Source organism: Homo sapiens, chromosome 16 (genome assembly GCF_000001405.40).
Source record: "Homo sapiens chromosome 16, GRCh38.p14 Primary Assembly".
NCBI lineage: Eukaryota > Metazoa > Chordata > Mammalia > Primates > Hominidae > Homo > Homo sapiens.
Window position 1 is genome coordinate 69,663,061 of NC_000016.10, and position 18,519 is coordinate 69,681,579.

The window sequence follows — 18,519 nt, forward strand, 5'->3', positions numbered from 1 at the left end:
AGTGCAAAGAGTTGGGATTGGAATGGGAGATAGAAGGAAACAGGAAGAGAGAGAGGTAGAAAAGGAAAGGGGCCAAAAGGTGACAGAGTTGGAAGGGAGAAGAGGAAACAGATACTTGATCTTCCTTCTATAGATACTCAGTGGAAAGAATTTCTAATATCAGGATTCATGCAGTGCCTTGTGGCTTTAAAAAAATTACTTCTAATTATTGGTTTAACAATGGCCATTGGATCCTTTGTCTTTTTGTTTTTAAGGGGATAGAAGATCATCCCTTTTTACATTCTTAACATCTTTCATGTTCTCCAGACAATATAGGTGTATATGTTTTTTGTTTTGGTATGTATGTTTATATTATTTTGTTATGTTATATCAAATTAAGAATATTAATTTTCAGCTAGGTGCAGTGGCACGCACCTGTAGTCCCAGCTACTTGGGAGGCTGAGGAAGGAGAATCACTTGAGCCCAGGAGTTTGAATCCAGCCTGGGATTCAAACCCATCTCTTTAAAAAAAAAAAAAAAAAAAAAAAGGCCAGGTGCAGTTGTACACGCCTGTAATACCAGCACTTTGGGAGGGCGAGGTAGGAAGATTGCTTGAAGCCAGGAGTTGGAAACCAGCCTGGACAACATAGCAAGAGTCCATCTCCACACACAAAAAAAATGTTTTAAGTTAGCTGGGCGTGGTGGCATGTCCCTGTAGACCCAGCTACTTGAGAGACTATGATGGGAGGATTATTTGAGCCCAAGAGTTCAAGGATACAGTGAGCTATGGTGGCACCACTGCACTCCAGCCTGGGCAACAGAGTGAGGTCTTATTGATCTGTCCTTAAAAAAGAAAAAAGAAAAAATTTTCATATCTACCCTTCTGTAGTAGTTTTTAATAGGACAAAATTAATCATGGCTTTCTTACATGTAATATATATTAGATTTTATCTTATGGTTACTCAATTAAATATGACTCTGAATTTAAGAATTTTCTACTTCCCCTATTTCTACCTATCCCACAGCTATGGGGAAAGGATGGTATTGTTAAGCAAACTATCCCTCTCTTAAAATTTTGGATAGGATTAGTAATTTACATAGTCAGATGTAGGCTTTATACTCTAAAATATTCTGTTAACTATGTTGTTCTACTAGACATTATTACAAAGCTTTATTCTCTTGACAGGTTGAAATATTTGCTTACTTATTTTTCAGTATTCAGATATTCATTATTTTTTTCAACTTTATTTATTTATTTATTTTTTGAGACGGAGTCTCACTCTGTCACCCAGGCTGGAGTGCAGTGGCGATCCCGGCTCACTGCAAGCTCCACCTCCGGGGTTCACACCATTCTCCTGCCTCAGCCTCCCGAGTAGCTGGGACTACAGGTGCCCATTACCACGCCTGGCTAATTTTTGGTATTTTTTAGTAGAGACGGGGTTTCACCGTGTTAGCCAGGATGGTCTCAATCTCCTGACCTCGTGATCCGCCTGCCTCGGCCTCTCAGGGTGCTGGGATTACAGGTGTGAGCCACCGCACCCGGCCTCAACTTTATTTTTCAGACTGCTAGTTGAAAAGCATCTAAAAGCACACAGTTTTTACAATACCAAAAAGGTGATTTTTTGTGTGTTCTAATTTTTAAGCATTATTCCTTTCAAGTAATTTTTAAGCATTATTCCTTTCAAGAGTCAGCTTATAAATAACTTGGTCGGGCGCAGTGGCTCACGCCTGTAATCCCAGCACTTTGGGAGGCCAAGGTGGGCCCATTACCTGAGGTCAGGAGATTGAGACCAGCCTGAGCAACATGGAGAAAACCCATCTCTGCTAAAAATACAAAGTTAGCCGGGCTTGGTGGTGCATACCTGTAATCCCAGCTACTCGGGAGGATGAGGCAAGAGAATTGCTTGAACCTGGGAGGTGGAGGTTGCGGTTAGCCAAGACTGCGCCACTGCACTCCAGCCTGGGCAACAAGAACAAAACTCCGTCTCAAATAAATAGATAAATAAGTAAATAACTTAAAAATAAAACAGTTAATGCTTAAGTAATCTTGACTTTAGTTGTGTTTAGTATGGCGTCTGTTGGGGACTCATCTCGTAAACTTTAAAGAAAGGACCTTTTAAAAGGCCAGAAGTTAAATTATCTTGAATCTATGACAAACCCACAGCCAATATCATACTGAATGGGCAAAAACTGGAAGCATTCCCTTTGAAAACTGGCACAAGACAGGGATGCCCTCTCTCACCACTCCTATTCAACATAGTGTTGGAAGTTCTGGCCAGGGCAATTAGGCAGGAGAAGGAAATAAAGGGTATTCAATTAGGAAAAGAGGAAGTCAAATTGTCCCTGTTTGCAGACGACATGATTGTATATCTAGAAAACCCCATTGTCTCAGCCCAAAATCTCCTTAAGCTGATAAGCAACTTCAGCAAAGTCTCAGGATACAAAATCAATGTACAAAAATCACAAGCATTCTTATACACCAACAACAGACAAACAGAGAGCCAAATCATGAGTGAACTCCCATTCACAATTGCTTCAAAGAGAATAAAATACCTAGGAATCCAACTTACAAGGGATGTGAAGGACCTCTTCAAGGAGAACTACAAGCCACTGCTCAATGAAATAAAAGAGGATACAAACAAATGGAAGAACATTCCATGCTCATGGGTAGGAAGAATCAATATCGTGAAAATGGCCATACTGCCCAAGGTAATTTACAGATTCAATGCCATCCCCATCAAGCTACCAATGACTTTCTTCACAGAATTGGAAAAAACTACTTTAAAGTTCATATGGAACCAAAAAAGAGCCTGCATCGCCAAGTCAATCCTAAGCCAAAAGAACAAAGCTGGAGGCATCACACTACCTGACTTCAAACTATACTACAAGGCTACAGTAACCAAAACAGCATGGTACTGGTACCAAAACAGAGATATAGATCAATGGAACAGAACAGAGCCCTCAGAAATAATGCCGCATATCTACAACTATCTGATCTTTGACAAACCTGAGAAAAACAAGCAATGGGGAAAGGATTCCCTATTTAATAAATGGTGCTGGGAAAACTGGCTAGCCATATGTAGAAAGCTGAAACTGGATCCCTTCCTTACACCTTATACAAAAATCAATTCAAGATGGATTAAAGACTTAAACGTTAGACCTAAAACCATAAAAACCCTAGAAGAAAACCTAGGCATTACCATTCAGGACATAGGCATGGGCAAGGACTTCATGTCTAAAACACCAAAAGCAATGGCAACCAAAGCCAAAATTGACAAATGGGATCTAATTAAACGGAAGAGCTTCTGCACAGCAAAAGAAACTACCATCAGAGTGAACAGGCAACCTACAAAATGGGAGAAAATTTTCGCAACCTACTCATCTGACAAAGGGCTAATATCCAGAATCTACAATGAACTCAAACAGATTTACAAGAAAAAAACAAACAACCCCATCAACAAGTGGGCGAAGGACATGAACAGACACTTCTCAAAAGAAGACATTTATGCAGGAAAAAAAACACATGAAAAAATGCTCACCATCACTGGCCATCAGAGAAATACAAATCAAAACCACAATGAGATACCATCTCACACCAGTTAGAATGGCAATCATTAAAAAGTCAGGAAACAGCAGGTGCTGGAGAGGATGTGGAGAAATAGGAACACTTTTACACTGTTGGTGGGACTGTAAACTAGTTCAACCATTGTGGAAGTCAGTGTGGCGATTCCTCAGGGATCTAGAACTAGAAATACCATTTGACCCAGCCATCCCATTACTGGGTATATACCCAAAGGACTATAAATCATGCTGCTATAAAGATACATGCACACATATGTTTATTGCAGCACTATTCACAATAGCAAAGACTTGGAACCAACCCAGATGTCCAACAATGATAGACTGGATTAAGAAAATGTGGCACATATACACCATGGAATACTATGCAGCCATAAAAAATGATGAGTTCATGTCCTTTGTAGGGACATGGATGAAACTGGAAATCATCACTCTCAGTAAACTATCGCAAGAACAAAAAACCAAACACTGCATATTCTCACTCATAGGTGGGAATTGAACAATGAGAACACATGGACACAGGAAGGGGAACATCACACTCTGGGGACGGTTGTGGGGTGGGGGGAGGGGGGAGGGATAGCACTGGGAGATATACCTAATGCTAGATGACGAGTTAGTGGGTGCAGCACACCAGCATGGCACATGTATACATATGTAACTAACCTGCACATTGTGCACATGTACCCTAAAACTTAAAAGTATAATAATAATACATTTAAAAAAAAAACTTTACAAGAATAGTAAATTTTAAGTAACAAAACTGTATAATATGTGGGATCTCTTTTGCATAATTGTATAATGTCAAGATTCAATATACTTCTTTTCTGACTTGTACTGTATAACTTGTGAATAAAGCAGGTCATTTTTGCAGAAACTAAAAAAAAAAAAAAAAGAAAGTAACCGACTAGTTCTTTCTGTAATGTAAATACGAATATGTAGAAGATAAATATATTCTAAACCTTGGGGCCTCATTTGGCTGTCTTATGCCTTTAACAAATAAATTTAAAAAATGAGATATGGGAAAAAGTTTTATCAGTAATCAGTGAAGTGGAATTTCCACACAGTATTTGAAAATGGAGGGAAAGGTTATATGCTTTACGTTTCATTTTGGTAATACAATATATTAATGTAATTTTAACAAGATATACCATATGTTTCTGGAATGTTTTTAAAAACAAGTATCTATTTCCTGTTACTCCAAAAAGTTACCTTTGAATAAACTGATTTAGTTAATTCTTCATTTAAAAGGGTATATCATTGTCAGTGTATGACCAATAACCCTTTCCATTCTGTTCACACATTTACCCTATAGGTTCTAGACAATACTTATTTTTTGTTTTTTTGTTTTTTGTTTGTTTCTTTTTTTAGACAAGGTTTCACTTTTGTTTACCAGGCTGGGGTGCAGTGGCGTGATCTCGGGTCACTGCAACCTCTGCCTCCTGGGTTCAACCGATTCTCCTGCCTCAGCCTCCCGAGTAGCTGGGATTACAAGCATGTGCCAGCACACCCAGCTAATTTTTTGTATTTTTAGTAAAGATGGGGTTTCACCATGTTGGCCAGGCTGACCAACTTGAACTCCTGACCTCCTCGAACTCCTGACCTCAGGTGATCTGCCCCTCTCGGTCTCCCAAAGTATTGGGATTACAGGCGTGAGCCACCTCACCCGGCCAGTGTATTTGTTTATACATTAACAATTTCTATTAAACTCCCCAGCATTGTTGAAAATGTCATTTATCATATACAAACAGGTTAAATATCTCTTATCTTAAATGCTTAGGACCCGAAGTGTTTCAGGTTTTGAATTTCTTTGGACTTTGAATTTCTTTGCATATACATAATGAGGTTTCATGGGAATGGTACCCAAGTGTAAACACAGAATTCATTTGTGTTTCATGTACAGCTATACACATAGCTTGAAGGTAATTTTACATAATATTTTAAATAATTTTGTGCATCAGAGTTTCAAAAAGCAAAGGTGTCACTGTTTCAGCCACCTTTGTAAATAATCTTTGTAAATAACCTGTTGGGCATCACCATCATTCCTGACTCTGAATTTATTTTTATTTTTATTTTTTTTTGAGACGAAGTCTTGCTGTGTCACCCAGGCTGGAGTGCAGTGGCACGATCTTGGCTCACAGCAACCTCCACCTCCCAGGTTCAAGAGATTCTCCTGCCTCAGCCTCCCAAGTAGCTGGGATTACAAGCACCCACCACCACGCCCAGCTAATTTTTTGTATTTTTAGTAGAAACAGGGTTTCACCCGACTCTGAATTTATATGCTACCAATAAGCAATCCTTTTCTTATATTTCTTCACACGTAAGTACTTAACACCGGTGCAGTCATGACTCACTGCAGCCTCAACCTCTGGGGTTTAAGTGATCCTCCCACTCCAGCCTCCTAAGTAGCTGGGAATTGCATGTGCATACTACCACGCCCAGCTAATTTTTTTGATTTTTTTGTAGAGACAAGGTCTCACTATTGCCCAGGCTGGTCTTGAACTCCTGGGCTCAAGTGATCCTTCAACCTTAGCCTCCCAAAGTGCTGGGATTACAGGTGTGAACCACTGCACCCAGCCCAGGTGTGTAAATTTTTGAGCATTGTATTGGCACTCAAAAAGTTTTGGATTTTGGAGCATTTAAGATTTTAGATTTTTGGCTGGGCATGGTGGCTCATGCCTGAATCCCAGCATTTTGGGAGGCCAAGGTGGGTGGATCACAAGGTTCGAGACCAGCCTGACCAACATGGTGAAACCCCGTCTCTACTAAAAATACAAAAATTAGCTGGGCGTGGTAGTGTGCATCTGTAATCTCAGCTACTGAGGAGGCTGAGGCAGGAGAATCACTTGAGCCCAGGAGGCAGAGGTTGCGGTGAGCTGAGATCACACCTCTGCATTCTAGCCTGGGCGACAGAGTGAGACTCAGTCTCAAAAAAAAAAGATTTTAGATTTTTGGATTAGGGATGCTCAACCTGTATTTAACAAAGACAGGATACTTGTTTGTATCAATAGCTGAAGGCTAAATGATACTGCAATAACACACAATTTAAAAGAAGACAACAAAACAAAACTCAGTGGCTTACAACAACTGAGTTGGTAAAACCATGTGATGGCTCTCAAAACTTTCACTTGGACTTGGCACATTACTTCAGTTCATATTTGATTATCCAAACCAGTCACATGACCAAGCCTGTCAGTAGAGCAAGAATTATAGCCTTTCCAGATAATTGTGTAACTATAAAAATATTTATTACTCCTCCTTCAATAAAGACAACTCATAGAACCGGATGATTGCAAGTTGATTTTAGGTAAGAAATAAGTTTTGGTGGTTCTTCTTATAGAATGCTTATGTATCTCCACAGCTCAGCCAGCAGGAGTGCCAGAAATCTTAAAGAAAAGCTTGCATAGCTGTTCAGTGAAAGGAGAAGAAGAAGTGTTTTTAATCGGCAAGAACTTTCTGAAAGGAACTAAAGTTATTTTCCAAGAAAATGTTTCTGGTAAGTACGCATATTTGTGGTACAGATATTTGTATGTTTTCACTTTGTTATATGGATATAGTCATAGCTACAGAGTAAAAAAAATAGTTCAAAAATTTAATAAATCACTTTTTATTTCAATCAGATGAAAACTCTTGGAAGTCAGAAGCTGAAATTGATATGGAACTATTTCATCAGGTAAAATTTAAGCTTTTTTTATAATTTGGTTATTTACTCTCTGAGCAATTCAGTTTTGTTTTGAAATTTTCCTGAATCAATAGATTAAATTTCTTCTTCCTATGGGATTGATATGAATTATTTAAAGTTTCTTTCTTGAGTTTCTTTAACTGAAATAGAATTATTTTCCTAATGGTAAACATGACCACCTCTATTTTAAAAAGTTAGGATCATTAACAAATGTTTCCATTGTTAATAAACAAAATCTTTCTTTCCTGATACTTATTTTCTCTGAGGATTTGCATAATCTTAATCCACTATATAGTTAAATAAAAGGGAAACCAATATTTATTGAGAATCTGTTATGTTTCAGGTACTTTATATTTGTTAAACCTTCTTGTGTTTAGAAGCACTCATCACACTGATATTAGTCTGTATTTGCAGGACCTCACCATGTATTGTTTCCCAAATAACAATGAAAACTTGAAAACAAGGATCAAGACCTGACTTAGGAATTCGTATTTAGAGCAGACAGGACCAAACCCCTAGAAATTGAGACTAACAGAAGGCCAAATTTATAAGCAAGTTAGAAGGCACATGGAGAAGAGGTAGTATGTACAGGTGTAGAACTGAGACAGAGAGAGAAGAGAGAAACAGGAACAAGCTAATGTGTAAATTACCCAAAGCCTAAAATTTAGTGTAAGCTGATGGGGAAAGAAAAGAGCACATGACAGAAGGTAGAGAAATAGAAGATGCAAAAATTAGACAATCTATAGCCACTTTATCCAAAAAGTTTATAATTTCCTTGTTGTTTTAAAATTTATTTTTTATTCCTTTGTGTATTTTTAAAAACCTAATAAAATTTAAAACATATATCCAATATATTGCCACACTCAAGGCTCAGGGCACAGCCAAGACTGTTGCCACTTCATACACCAGACACAAGTTCAAAGGTCCCCAGGCCACCCTCTTTTTTTGAACGAGTGGCTCAAACAGTATTTTTCCTACTGTCCCCTTGGATTTGATAACTTCCTAGAAAAATTCACAGAACTCTGGGAAGTGCTATACTTAGTGCCTGTAGTTTTTTTGTTTGTTTGTTTTTGTTTTGTTGTTGTTGTTCTTTTAAGACAGTCTTGCTCTGTCGCCAGGCTGGCATACAGTGGCGCGATTTCAGCTCACTGCAACCTCTGACTCCCTGGTTCAAGCAATTCTCCTGTCTCAGCCTCCTGAGTAACTGGGACTACAGGCATGTGCCACCATGTCCAGCTAATTTTTGTATTTTTAGAAGAGACGGGGTTTCACCATGTTGGCCAGGATGGCCTCCATCTCCTGACCTCATGATCTGCCCGCCTTGGCCTCCCAAAGTGCTGGGATTACAGGTGTGAACCACTGTGCCTGGCCTAGTGCCTATAGTTTTACAACAAAAGGACAGAAATCAGAATCAGCTAAAGGGAGAGATGCATAACACAAGGTCTCGGAGTGTCCCAGGCACTAACCTTCTGTCATCCTCAGGAAGACATTACCATCTTGGCATAGCAATGTGTGATGATAACAATATGCAGAGAATTACCAAGCAGGGAAGCTCACCCAAGCCTTTGGTGTCCAGAGTTATTATTTCAGACCTGATTATATACTGCCCATGCAGCTACCTTTGGTCTTCACTTCCACAAGGTTAGAATTGATATGGTGTGTTCCAAAGCCTCTGTTATAAATCACATTGTTAGACTATCCAGCGACCAAAGCTCTCAAGTAAATATCACTGTCACACAAGACATTGCAGGAACCTAGAGATTACCTCCTAGCAGCCAGAGGTAAAGACCAGAACTCTCTCTGGGTAAAGTTAATTATTTCCTAGACAATATCGTATAGTGTGGAGATTCCTATATATCTAGACAAATGCTATGTGGCAAGTTTTCCTCTGGCCTTATGCAACTACATGTTGTGGAAAAGAGATAATGGGACTTAACAAACATTCCTTTGTCACACAGACCATTGGGCAATATCTCCTAGGGTTTATAGTCAGACTAGTCTTAATTGAAGTTTTAATACCTGCTTTGTCATTAGCAATCTGTGTTAACTAAGTAAGACAAATGACTTTTGTGCTCCAGTTTTCTGATCTGTAAGATAAGCGCTTTCATTAGATTATTTGAGACTCCTCTGACTCTAACATTTTATTATTTCTTATATTATTTGATCAGACCATCTCCACTCCCATGAACCAACAATAGCTTCCTCTGGAGTACTCCTGGAGGTTAGAGGCAATGTATTATAATTCTTCTGTGTTCCTTGTAATACCAAACACTTAATAGATACACAAGAAAAACTTATTAGTTCATTTTATTCACCTTGAAGAAAAAAATGGGTGACTGTGTGGTCTAAGTAAGGTTCATTTGTTCTTTCCGAGGATACTTCAAACCCTAATTTCAGCCAGGTCTTTAAATACCTAGAGTTGTAATCCTAACTGAAACTTAATTTATTCATGCAGTACTTTTGTATGCTATGAACATGTTTTGTTTCTTGACAAATTAGTTAGATTAATGTAGACTCCCTTGCTTGTAATGCTCTATTATGATTGTTATTCTTATGATAAAGATTGATAGATAAGGAGACTATTTCTGGAGATTGAGAGACTTGCCTTATAAATTATACAAAATATCAATGACATAGCCCCAACAAATTGTAGTATTAACTTGCTATTTTGTATAGAACTTTATATTCATAAGTTATCCTCCCTCCCTACCTCCATTTTTCTTTCTCTCTCTCTCTCTTGCCTTTTGAGGCATGGGGTAGTTATATTTTTAAAACACTTTTTTTCAGGGCAGTTATGCCAGCTACAGTAGGTTAAAGAATAATAATCATAAAAATAAGACACGTGGTGGAATGGAAAGGAATTATATCCTTATTTGGTGACTATATCTAGAGGTCCTGGGGTTTTTGCAAGCAAGTATGTAAACAAACTAAATCATAATATAATCTGTCATTAATTCTGTGGTTTTGTTCATTTTTATCTTTTTCAGAGAGAGGTTTTATTTTATTTTTTTTCTAAAGGGGTTTTCTTGGAAGCCTTTTCTTTGAGTGGAATCAGAGCTGAGATCCTAGAGAATTGATTCTAGAGATTATATAAAGGAAGAAAACCCACAAAGCAAACCTTTAGGGGGAAGAAAATGTGTTGAGACTGGGCATAGTGACTCATACCTATAATCCCAGCACTTTGGGAGGTAGAGGCAGGAGGATTGCTTGAAGCTGGGAGTTTAAGACCAGCCTGGGCAACATAGTGAGATCCCATCTCTACAAAAAATTTAAAATATAGCCAGTCATGGTGGCACATGCATATAGTTCCAGCTACTTGGGAGGCTGAGGTCAGAGAATCACTTGAGCCCAGGAAGTTGAGGCTGCAGTGAGCCCTGATTCCGCCACTGCACTTCCACGTGGGTGACAGTGAGACCCTGTCTCAAACAAAAAAAAAAGACAACACACTTTGGATGTGATCAGTAAAGAAATATTAGGCCTACACAAAAAAAGTTGAAAGGGAATCTCTACAATATTTAAAAATACCCAGCAGATGGTATAGTAGAAAAGACCATTTAAAGATAATTTCACAAATTGCAGTTGTGAAAGATTGTAATAGCTGTTCAGTTGCAAACCCAAAATCAATTCATCAGGTATTACACTTTTTCTATCATATTATAAATATTGCCAGGCGTGTGGCTCATGCCTATAATCCCAGCAGTTTGGGAGGCCGAGGCAGGTGAATCACCTGAGGTCAGGAGTTCGCGACCAGCCTAGACAATATGGCAAAACCCCATCTCTACTAAAAATACAAAAATTTGCTGGGTGTGGTGGCATATGCCTGTAATCCCAGCTACTTAGGAGGCTGAGGCAAGAAAATCACTTGAACCCAGGAGGCGGAGGTTGCAGTGAGCTGAGATCACGCCATTGCACTCCAGCCTGGGCAACAAGAGTGAAACTGTCTCAAAAAAAAAAAAAAAAAAAAAGTAATACGGTATTATAAATATTGAGACTAATGAAGTCTGGAAAAACAATTCTTTGTTCAATTGTTTTCTGGTCTTCTGGTCCATAGTATACCTCATGCTCATGTATACCAAATATGATGGGTACATGATCATTCATTATGTCTATTCCCTTTTAACAACTGTAGATGAGTTATATATAACATTAATTACCTATTAAAAATATATATAAAGGGATATTCAATCTATATATACAAATATACATAAAAGGATAGCTCAGGGGAAGATGGTATAAATGTGGAAAGAAAATTCTTGAAAGAAGTACAAAAAAAAGATCCTCAGAAGAATTTGTGGGAAGAACTAGACTAAACAAAGACTTGAAAGCTTAGAGTTATGTTTTTCAAATCAGTTCTAAGAGTAATTTTGTAATGGGTCTTTGGTCAAGTCTAATTGTAGATATTCTAATTATGTAGGTATTCTGATTATATATATTCCCAACTGTAAAATTAATGTGACAAAATAAAAAGTATCTCATAGAAGAGTGAAAGATATCTAGCACCATTGCTGGTACACTCTGAAAAAGATTATCTGCTAGGGAAAAAGTTATTTGAATCTAAGCAGATTTTTCTAAGAAGTTAAAATTCAATTGTTTTCCTCTTTTTATCCCAAAGAGCATTATACCTGCTCCCAAAGCCTCCCAACCCTTTGTATGTTTTGTATGTACTGTATCCCTAGCTCAGTGATAGTTAATTGTTTCTAATTTATGAGAGGGTATTAAAAATAGCTTTTGATCACTAGTGACAGTTTACCTAATTTTTAATTCAGATCAGTTGTAGAATTTCTAGATTCAGATTGAGGAAGTTTGAAGAATTAGTAGCAAAATAGGTTCATTTGGTTTTTAAAAGGTTTCAAAATTAGTTTTACTTAAATGTGCTCTCCAAAGCAAGTAGAGTAAAAGTATTTTGATAAAATATGCATCTGATTTGTAGACACTAGTCCTGTTACTAATTGCCAAGAAACAAGTTTTTATTCAAAAGAATAGTTTGAATTATGGAGTTTGCCAAACAATTTTAAGAGTGAGAGCTCTCACAAGCTGTTCATTCAACCATCTCCTTAACTCTAGATAGACTGTTTCTGTGACATAGTTGTAGTGTTTAAACAACAGAGTAAAAATGAGGTAGACAAGATTCAGTAACTCTGTTTCTTAGAAGTTAGATCAATACCAGTGCGTTTTTTATGACCTTGTATGTGTTCAGATTTAGCTCCTGCCTTATAACTGTGGATGTATGCATATTTGTACATGTTTTTCCACCTAGTTGAAAAGAATGTGGTTTTTTTGAGATGGCCAACTTAGGAGGCATTCTGTTAATGCCGTAAATTAGAAGCTAGTTTTTTGTTTTTTTGTTTTTTTTGTTTTGGAGACAGAGTTACGCTCTTGTTGCCCAGGCTGGAGTGCAATGACGCGCTCTTGGCTCACCTCAACCTCCGCCCCCCGGGTTCAAGCGATTCTTCTGCCTCAGCCTCCTGAGTAGCTGGGATTACAGGCATGTGCCACCAGGGCTGGCTAATTTTTTGTATTTTTAGTAGAAACAGGGTTTCACCATGTTAACCAGGCTGTTCTCAAGCTCCTGACCTCAGGTGATCTGCCCACCTCGGCCTCCCAAAGTGTTGGGATTACAGGCGTAAGCCACCATGCCTGGCCTAGTTCTTTATTTATAATGTGACTGTATTTCAGAGAGTGTTTTAAGATGGCTCAGAAACAAATTAAATTCTCAGAAATGGAAACCTTGACCTTGATCTCATTTGTCCCATATTTTCTATTCAACTGAGTCAACGAACTATGTAGTCTAACTAAATTTTAAATGTCATCAAACTCACGTCACCCTCAGCTGTCAGCTTCGGCCTCCTGCAAATCAGATCATTAGTGAAAAAGCATAATCACTACCCTGTGATATCCCCTACCATTATAATAATCTACTAGGGAAGAAGAAAAAAAAGTCAAATATGGCTCATATTACCCTCTAAGAAGATATAGTACCCTTGAGTAAGTACTGGTGAAACTTTTATGAACTCTGCCTTTCTCTTATAAGGATGCTTCTGCCACTGTTCCAACTAAAAACATCTTTGGTTTACTGAGATGTGGATAAACTGAACCCAATTTGACTTAAAATGAGAATTATGTTGTTAGGAGTAGCGAACTGCATTGTGAAATACATCTCACATTGAGGTTGTACAGAATGTATGGTAACTGACTTTGCCCTTGGTGGGCATATTTTTTTTCTAATAATTTATTCATTCTTTTATTCAATATGTACCTTATGTAAGGTACTATTCTTTACAAGTGAGACAGAGTGAAGAACAAAACAGCCTAGATCCTCATGGAGCTTACATTCTTATGTTTGGAGAAAGACCAAAAAACAAGCAAATAGGGTAATTTGCAGGGGTGAGGATAAGTGCTGTTATGGAAATAAACAAGATTATGTTATAAGGTTGGGGAAGGGTTTTGCTTTAAATAGGATGATCAGGGAAGGCTTCTTTGAGGTGACATTTGTATCTGACCTGATAATGGGTTAGGAACTCACCATTTGAGGAGGTGAAGGAATAATATTGCAATTGAAGAGAATAACAAGTATAGAGAATCTGAGGTAAAACTGAGTTTAGTATGTTAAAAGAAGGGACCGAGGTCAGTGTGGCTACAGTGTAGTGAGCTAGAAGAGCAGGAATGAGATGAAGTTGACAGGGCAGGGATCTTGACCTTGTAAGCCATTATAAAACACTTGGATTTTACCTTAAAAGCAGTGTTAAGATTAATATCCTGATGCCTGTGAACCTGAGCTTTAAAATGCATTCTTTTTTTTTTAATCACTTTTTAAACTTTACAGCTAACAGGAAATATACTTCATTTAAAATTTTTAAATTTAAGTATTGCTTCTTTTCCAACTCTTGTGCTTTTCTTTACATTAGAATCATCTTATTGTGAAGGTTCCTCCCTATCATGACCAACATATAACTTTGCCTGTGTCAGTGGGAATATATGTAGTGACAAATGCTGGAAGATCTCATGATGTTCAACCATTCACTTACACTCCAGACCCAGGTATGTCAAAATGAAAAATTCAGAACTAAAACAAATAATTAATTTCCAGTTTTTTGAAAGAATATGAAGATGACTAGCCAACCAAAAAGAAAGTTGCTCACTAAGATGAATTGATGTTAGTTTCTTTTGGAAATGACATTATTTTCTAAGAGGACAGCCGCCAGATACTGCTTTTACTCTTATATTAAGGAATCATTTCTACCTTATGCTATAATAATAAAAGGCAGCAATGCTCTGAAGTCAGATTCTCTGAAGCTATCTGACAGGTTACTCCTCCATAAGAATTTCCATGCATTGACTACCGCTTATGTGCAGAAACCTGAAAGTGACAACTTTGGGAAATTGCTAATAGTTTAGTTTGGCTGGTTTATAGGGTACATTTTGAGAGAGAGAAGAGATAAACTAGAGTGACAGGTGATAAAATAAAAAATCCCAAAGACTGATGGTGAATAAATATTTTTTTCTTTCTATATTGCCCCATAATACCTGATAAATATTTTAAATAAAACTTTGGTTGGGTTAAAACGATATTTTAGGCTGGGTGCGGTGATGCACACCTGTAATCTCAGCACTTTGGGAGGCCGAGGCGGGTGGATCACCTGAGGTCAGGGGTTTGAGATGAGGCTGGCCAACATGTTGAAACCTTGTCTCTACTAAAAATACAAAAAAAAAATTAGCTGGGTGTGGTGATGGGTGCTTGTAATCCCAGCTACTGGGGAGGCTGAGGAAGGAGAATTGCCTGAACCTGGGAGGTACAGGTTGCAGTGAGCTGAGATTGTGCCATTGCACTCCAGCCTGGGCGATAGAGCGAGACTGTCTCAAAGACAGAAAACAAAACAAAAACCTGATATTTTAGAAATGAGAGGAACTAAATTTTTTTTTTTTGCATGTGAGTGGGAGACGGAGTCTCGCTGTGTCGCCCAGGCTGGAGTGCAATGGCGCGATCTTGGCTCACTGCAACCTCCACCTCCTGGGTTCAAGCTATTCTCCTGCCTCAGCCTCCCGAGTAGCTGGGACTACGGGTGTACACCACCACGCCCAGCTAATTTTTGTTTTTTCAGTAGAGACGAGGTTTCACCATGTTAGCCAGGCTGGTCTCAAATTCCTGACCTTGTGATCCACCTGCCTCGGCCTCCCAAAGTGCTGGGATTACAGGCATGAGCCACCACGTCCGACCCTAAAATGTTCAAAGTTTAGAAGATACCTATTTATGAAGTGTCTCACAAGTTATTTGCCTGCATTCATTTAGATGCCTGAAAAAAGCAAAAAGCCTCCTTTTGGCAGAAATGGGGAGAACATTTTGGAAATGGAAACTCTTTGCATGCTCCATTGACCTAGGCTTGGCTTCTGCCATGTTTACCATTGGTTCAGTTCAGTCCAGTCTCAAGCATACTTCAGAATTAGCAGTTCTTCTCTATCTGTAGTTTATTAGTATGTTATTTCCATATAGTTCAAGATCCAGTGAGGTAGAAGGTAAAGAATGGGGCAAAGAAAGAAAGCCCTGGCATCAAAAAGTGAAGAAAACAGTAGCTAGGACAGAATAACAACTAATTTAAGTTAATTGCTTTCTGTCACTTAATTTTTCTATTCACTATTCTCTTTTCTTTTCTTTTCTTTTTGAGATGGAGTCTTGTGTTGCCCAGGCTGGGGTGCAGTAGCGTGATCCTGGGTCATTGCAACCTCTGCCTCCCAGGTTCAAGCGATTTTCCTACCTCAGCCTCTCATGAGTAGCTGGCACTACAGGCATGCACCACCATACATGGCTAATTTTTGTTAGTAGAGACAGGGTTTTGCCATGTTGGCCAGGCTGGTCTCAAACTCCTGACCTCAGGTGATCTGCCCGCCTCGGCCTCCCAAAGTGCTGGGATTACAGGCGTGAGCCACCACTCCCAGCCTCATATTTTATTCTTAATCGTATCTGAATTTTGCAACATTATTTTCTACTAATTTGTTACAAAAGGTATGCCACAGTACAGCACTGTTAAAATACCCCTTGAAGGCCTGGCATGGTGGCTCACACCTGTAATCCTAGCACATTGGGAGGCCGAGGTGGGCGAATCACTTAAGGCCAGGAATTCAAAACCAGCCTGGCCAACATGGTGAAACCCCTCTCTACTAAAAATACAAAAATTAGCCAGGCGTGGTGGTGGGCACCTGTTTACCCAGCTACGTGGGAGGCTGAGACAGGAGAATCTCTTGAACCCGGGAGGTGGAGGTTGCAGTGAGCCAAGATCACACCACTATACTCTAGCCTGGGAAACAGAGTGAGACTTTGTCAATAAATAAATAAATAAATAACCTTGATATTTGTCTCAGAATTAAAGATCATGTGTGAAAACATTGGACCAAAAAGGCAAAGTTTAGAAATAACATCCTGGCTTCAACAAAAATAGGAGAAAGAAGATTGGCTTATTCTCAAAGACCAAATATTTTATTGTTTCCTTTCTAGGAAGGCTTAAAACATCTAAGGAAATTTGATATAAAATTAATAATAGTTGGCTGGGCATGGTGGCTCACGCCTGTAATCCCCGCCAGCACTTCGGGAGGCCAAGGCAGGTGGATTACAAGGTCAGGAGATCAGGACCATCCTGGCTAACACGGTGAAACCCATCTCTACTAAAAATACAAAAAAATTAGCCGGGCGCGGTGGTGGGCACCTGTAGTCCCAGCTACTCAGGAGGCTGAGGCAGGAGAATGGCATGAACCTGGGAGGCAGAGCTTGCAGTGAGCTGAGATTGCGCCAGTGTACTCCAGCCTGGGCGACAGAGCAAGACTCCATCTCAAAAGAAAAAGGAAAGAAAATTAATGATAGTTAAAGCATTTTAGTAACTGATAGTTACTAAATATTGACATTTAATGTTTGGCAGGAGCTTGCACAAACATGAGAAGAAAGATGGTATAATTAATACATAGGATTTGTTTCCTGATGAGCTTCTGCATCAGTTGTGTTGGAAGGGAAAGGAATTTATGTCAGGAAATAGCCTTAAAGGTTTTGCTATCCTGAAAACACTGAGATTTTCTTGTCTTCACTTGTTTCTTTGTTTTTATTGATATGAGACTTCAGGACTTTGAAGTACTTAGCATCAACACTAAGAATCATCATTTCTTAGTGATAAATGCTAATTATTAGAAATTGGCCTTTGATAAATTGCTGAACAAACAACTTTTAAGTATTCTACTTCAAAGGCTATACTAATTGCCTAATTTTGGCCATTCTTAGGCAATCATTACTGTATGTTTGCTCTTTCAAGTTTTCCCCCAGCATATTTTGTATGTTACAGATAGCAATCACTCTTAGAAAACCTTGTTTGAATAAATATAAGGTATGCAAACTTTGTAATACAATCTAATGTCTTAGCTTCTGCCTCTATGATACAGCTAATTAGTCTTCCTGCAATTTTCATTTTTTTGTTTTTTTGTTTTTATTTTGTTTTGTTTTTTTGAGATGAATTCTTGCTCTGTCACCCAGGCTGGAGTACAGTGGCGTGATCTCGGCTCACTGCAACCTCCACCTCCCAGGTTCAGGCAATTCTCCTGCCACAGCCTCCGAAGTAGCTGGGACTACAGGTGCCCACCACCACACCTGGCTAATTTTTGTATTTTTAGTAGAGACGGGGTTTCACCATGTTGGCCAGGCTGGTCTCTAACTCCTGACCTCAAGTGATCCGCCCGCCTCAGCCTCCCAAAGTGTTGGGATTACAGGCATGAGCCACAGTTGTACTTTTTTGTATTTTATGAAATGTAATAATCTTTTCAAGTGTCCATGAGAAGTGTCTTGGAAGCCATGAGAGAGAATATGATTTCAGGAAAACTTGGGCACAGAGAATTTGGCCTATCTCAGTATGACAAACTAATAGCTGTTGTGATTCATTTAGGGACTGTTGTTAAATATTTGATTACTCGATAGTGTATTATTATAGCAGCCAAAACAAGGTCCATCCTAATATTTACGGGTTGGAGTAGAAGTGGTGACTGTTAATACTATTAGTTGAAATACTTAAAAGTTATAAATAAAACTAACAAATCATTAAGTGAAATACCTCCTATCTTACTTTGACCAAAATACCCTCATAACAACCTGAAAGGCTAAATTTGAATTTAGAATTTTCAAACTGCTTTGAGTTCTAAGCTGGGCTATGGTAGCATGAGGAGAGAGCATCCCTGCCTGCCACCCTTCTTTTGCCACTTTTTGGCTCCATCCTATACTTGGAAGCCTTTGATACCTTAATCAGTGTTTCCACCTA

General features: G+C 38.7%; 1 protein-coding gene across 18 annotated transcripts in view; it reads left to right on the forward strand.

The window, feature by feature from the left end:
- Window positions 1-18,519, forward strand: part of NFAT5 (nuclear factor of activated T cells 5) — a 138,689-nt gene that overhangs the window by 97,095 nt on the left and 23,075 nt on the right. For all 18 annotated transcript variants that reach the window (XR_007064848.1, NM_138714.4, NM_138713.4 and 15 more), the window contains 3 exons: window positions 6,917-7,051; window positions 7,176-7,228; window positions 14,143-14,275. Coding sequence is in view for 17 of the 18 variants with exons in the window: in NM_138714.4 (NP_619728.2) it covers window positions 6,917-7,051; window positions 7,176-7,228; window positions 14,143-14,275 (321 nt within the window). In the remaining variant the exon portion in view is untranslated. The remainder of the gene's footprint in view (window positions 1-6,916; window positions 7,052-7,175; window positions 7,229-14,142; window positions 14,276-18,519) is intronic.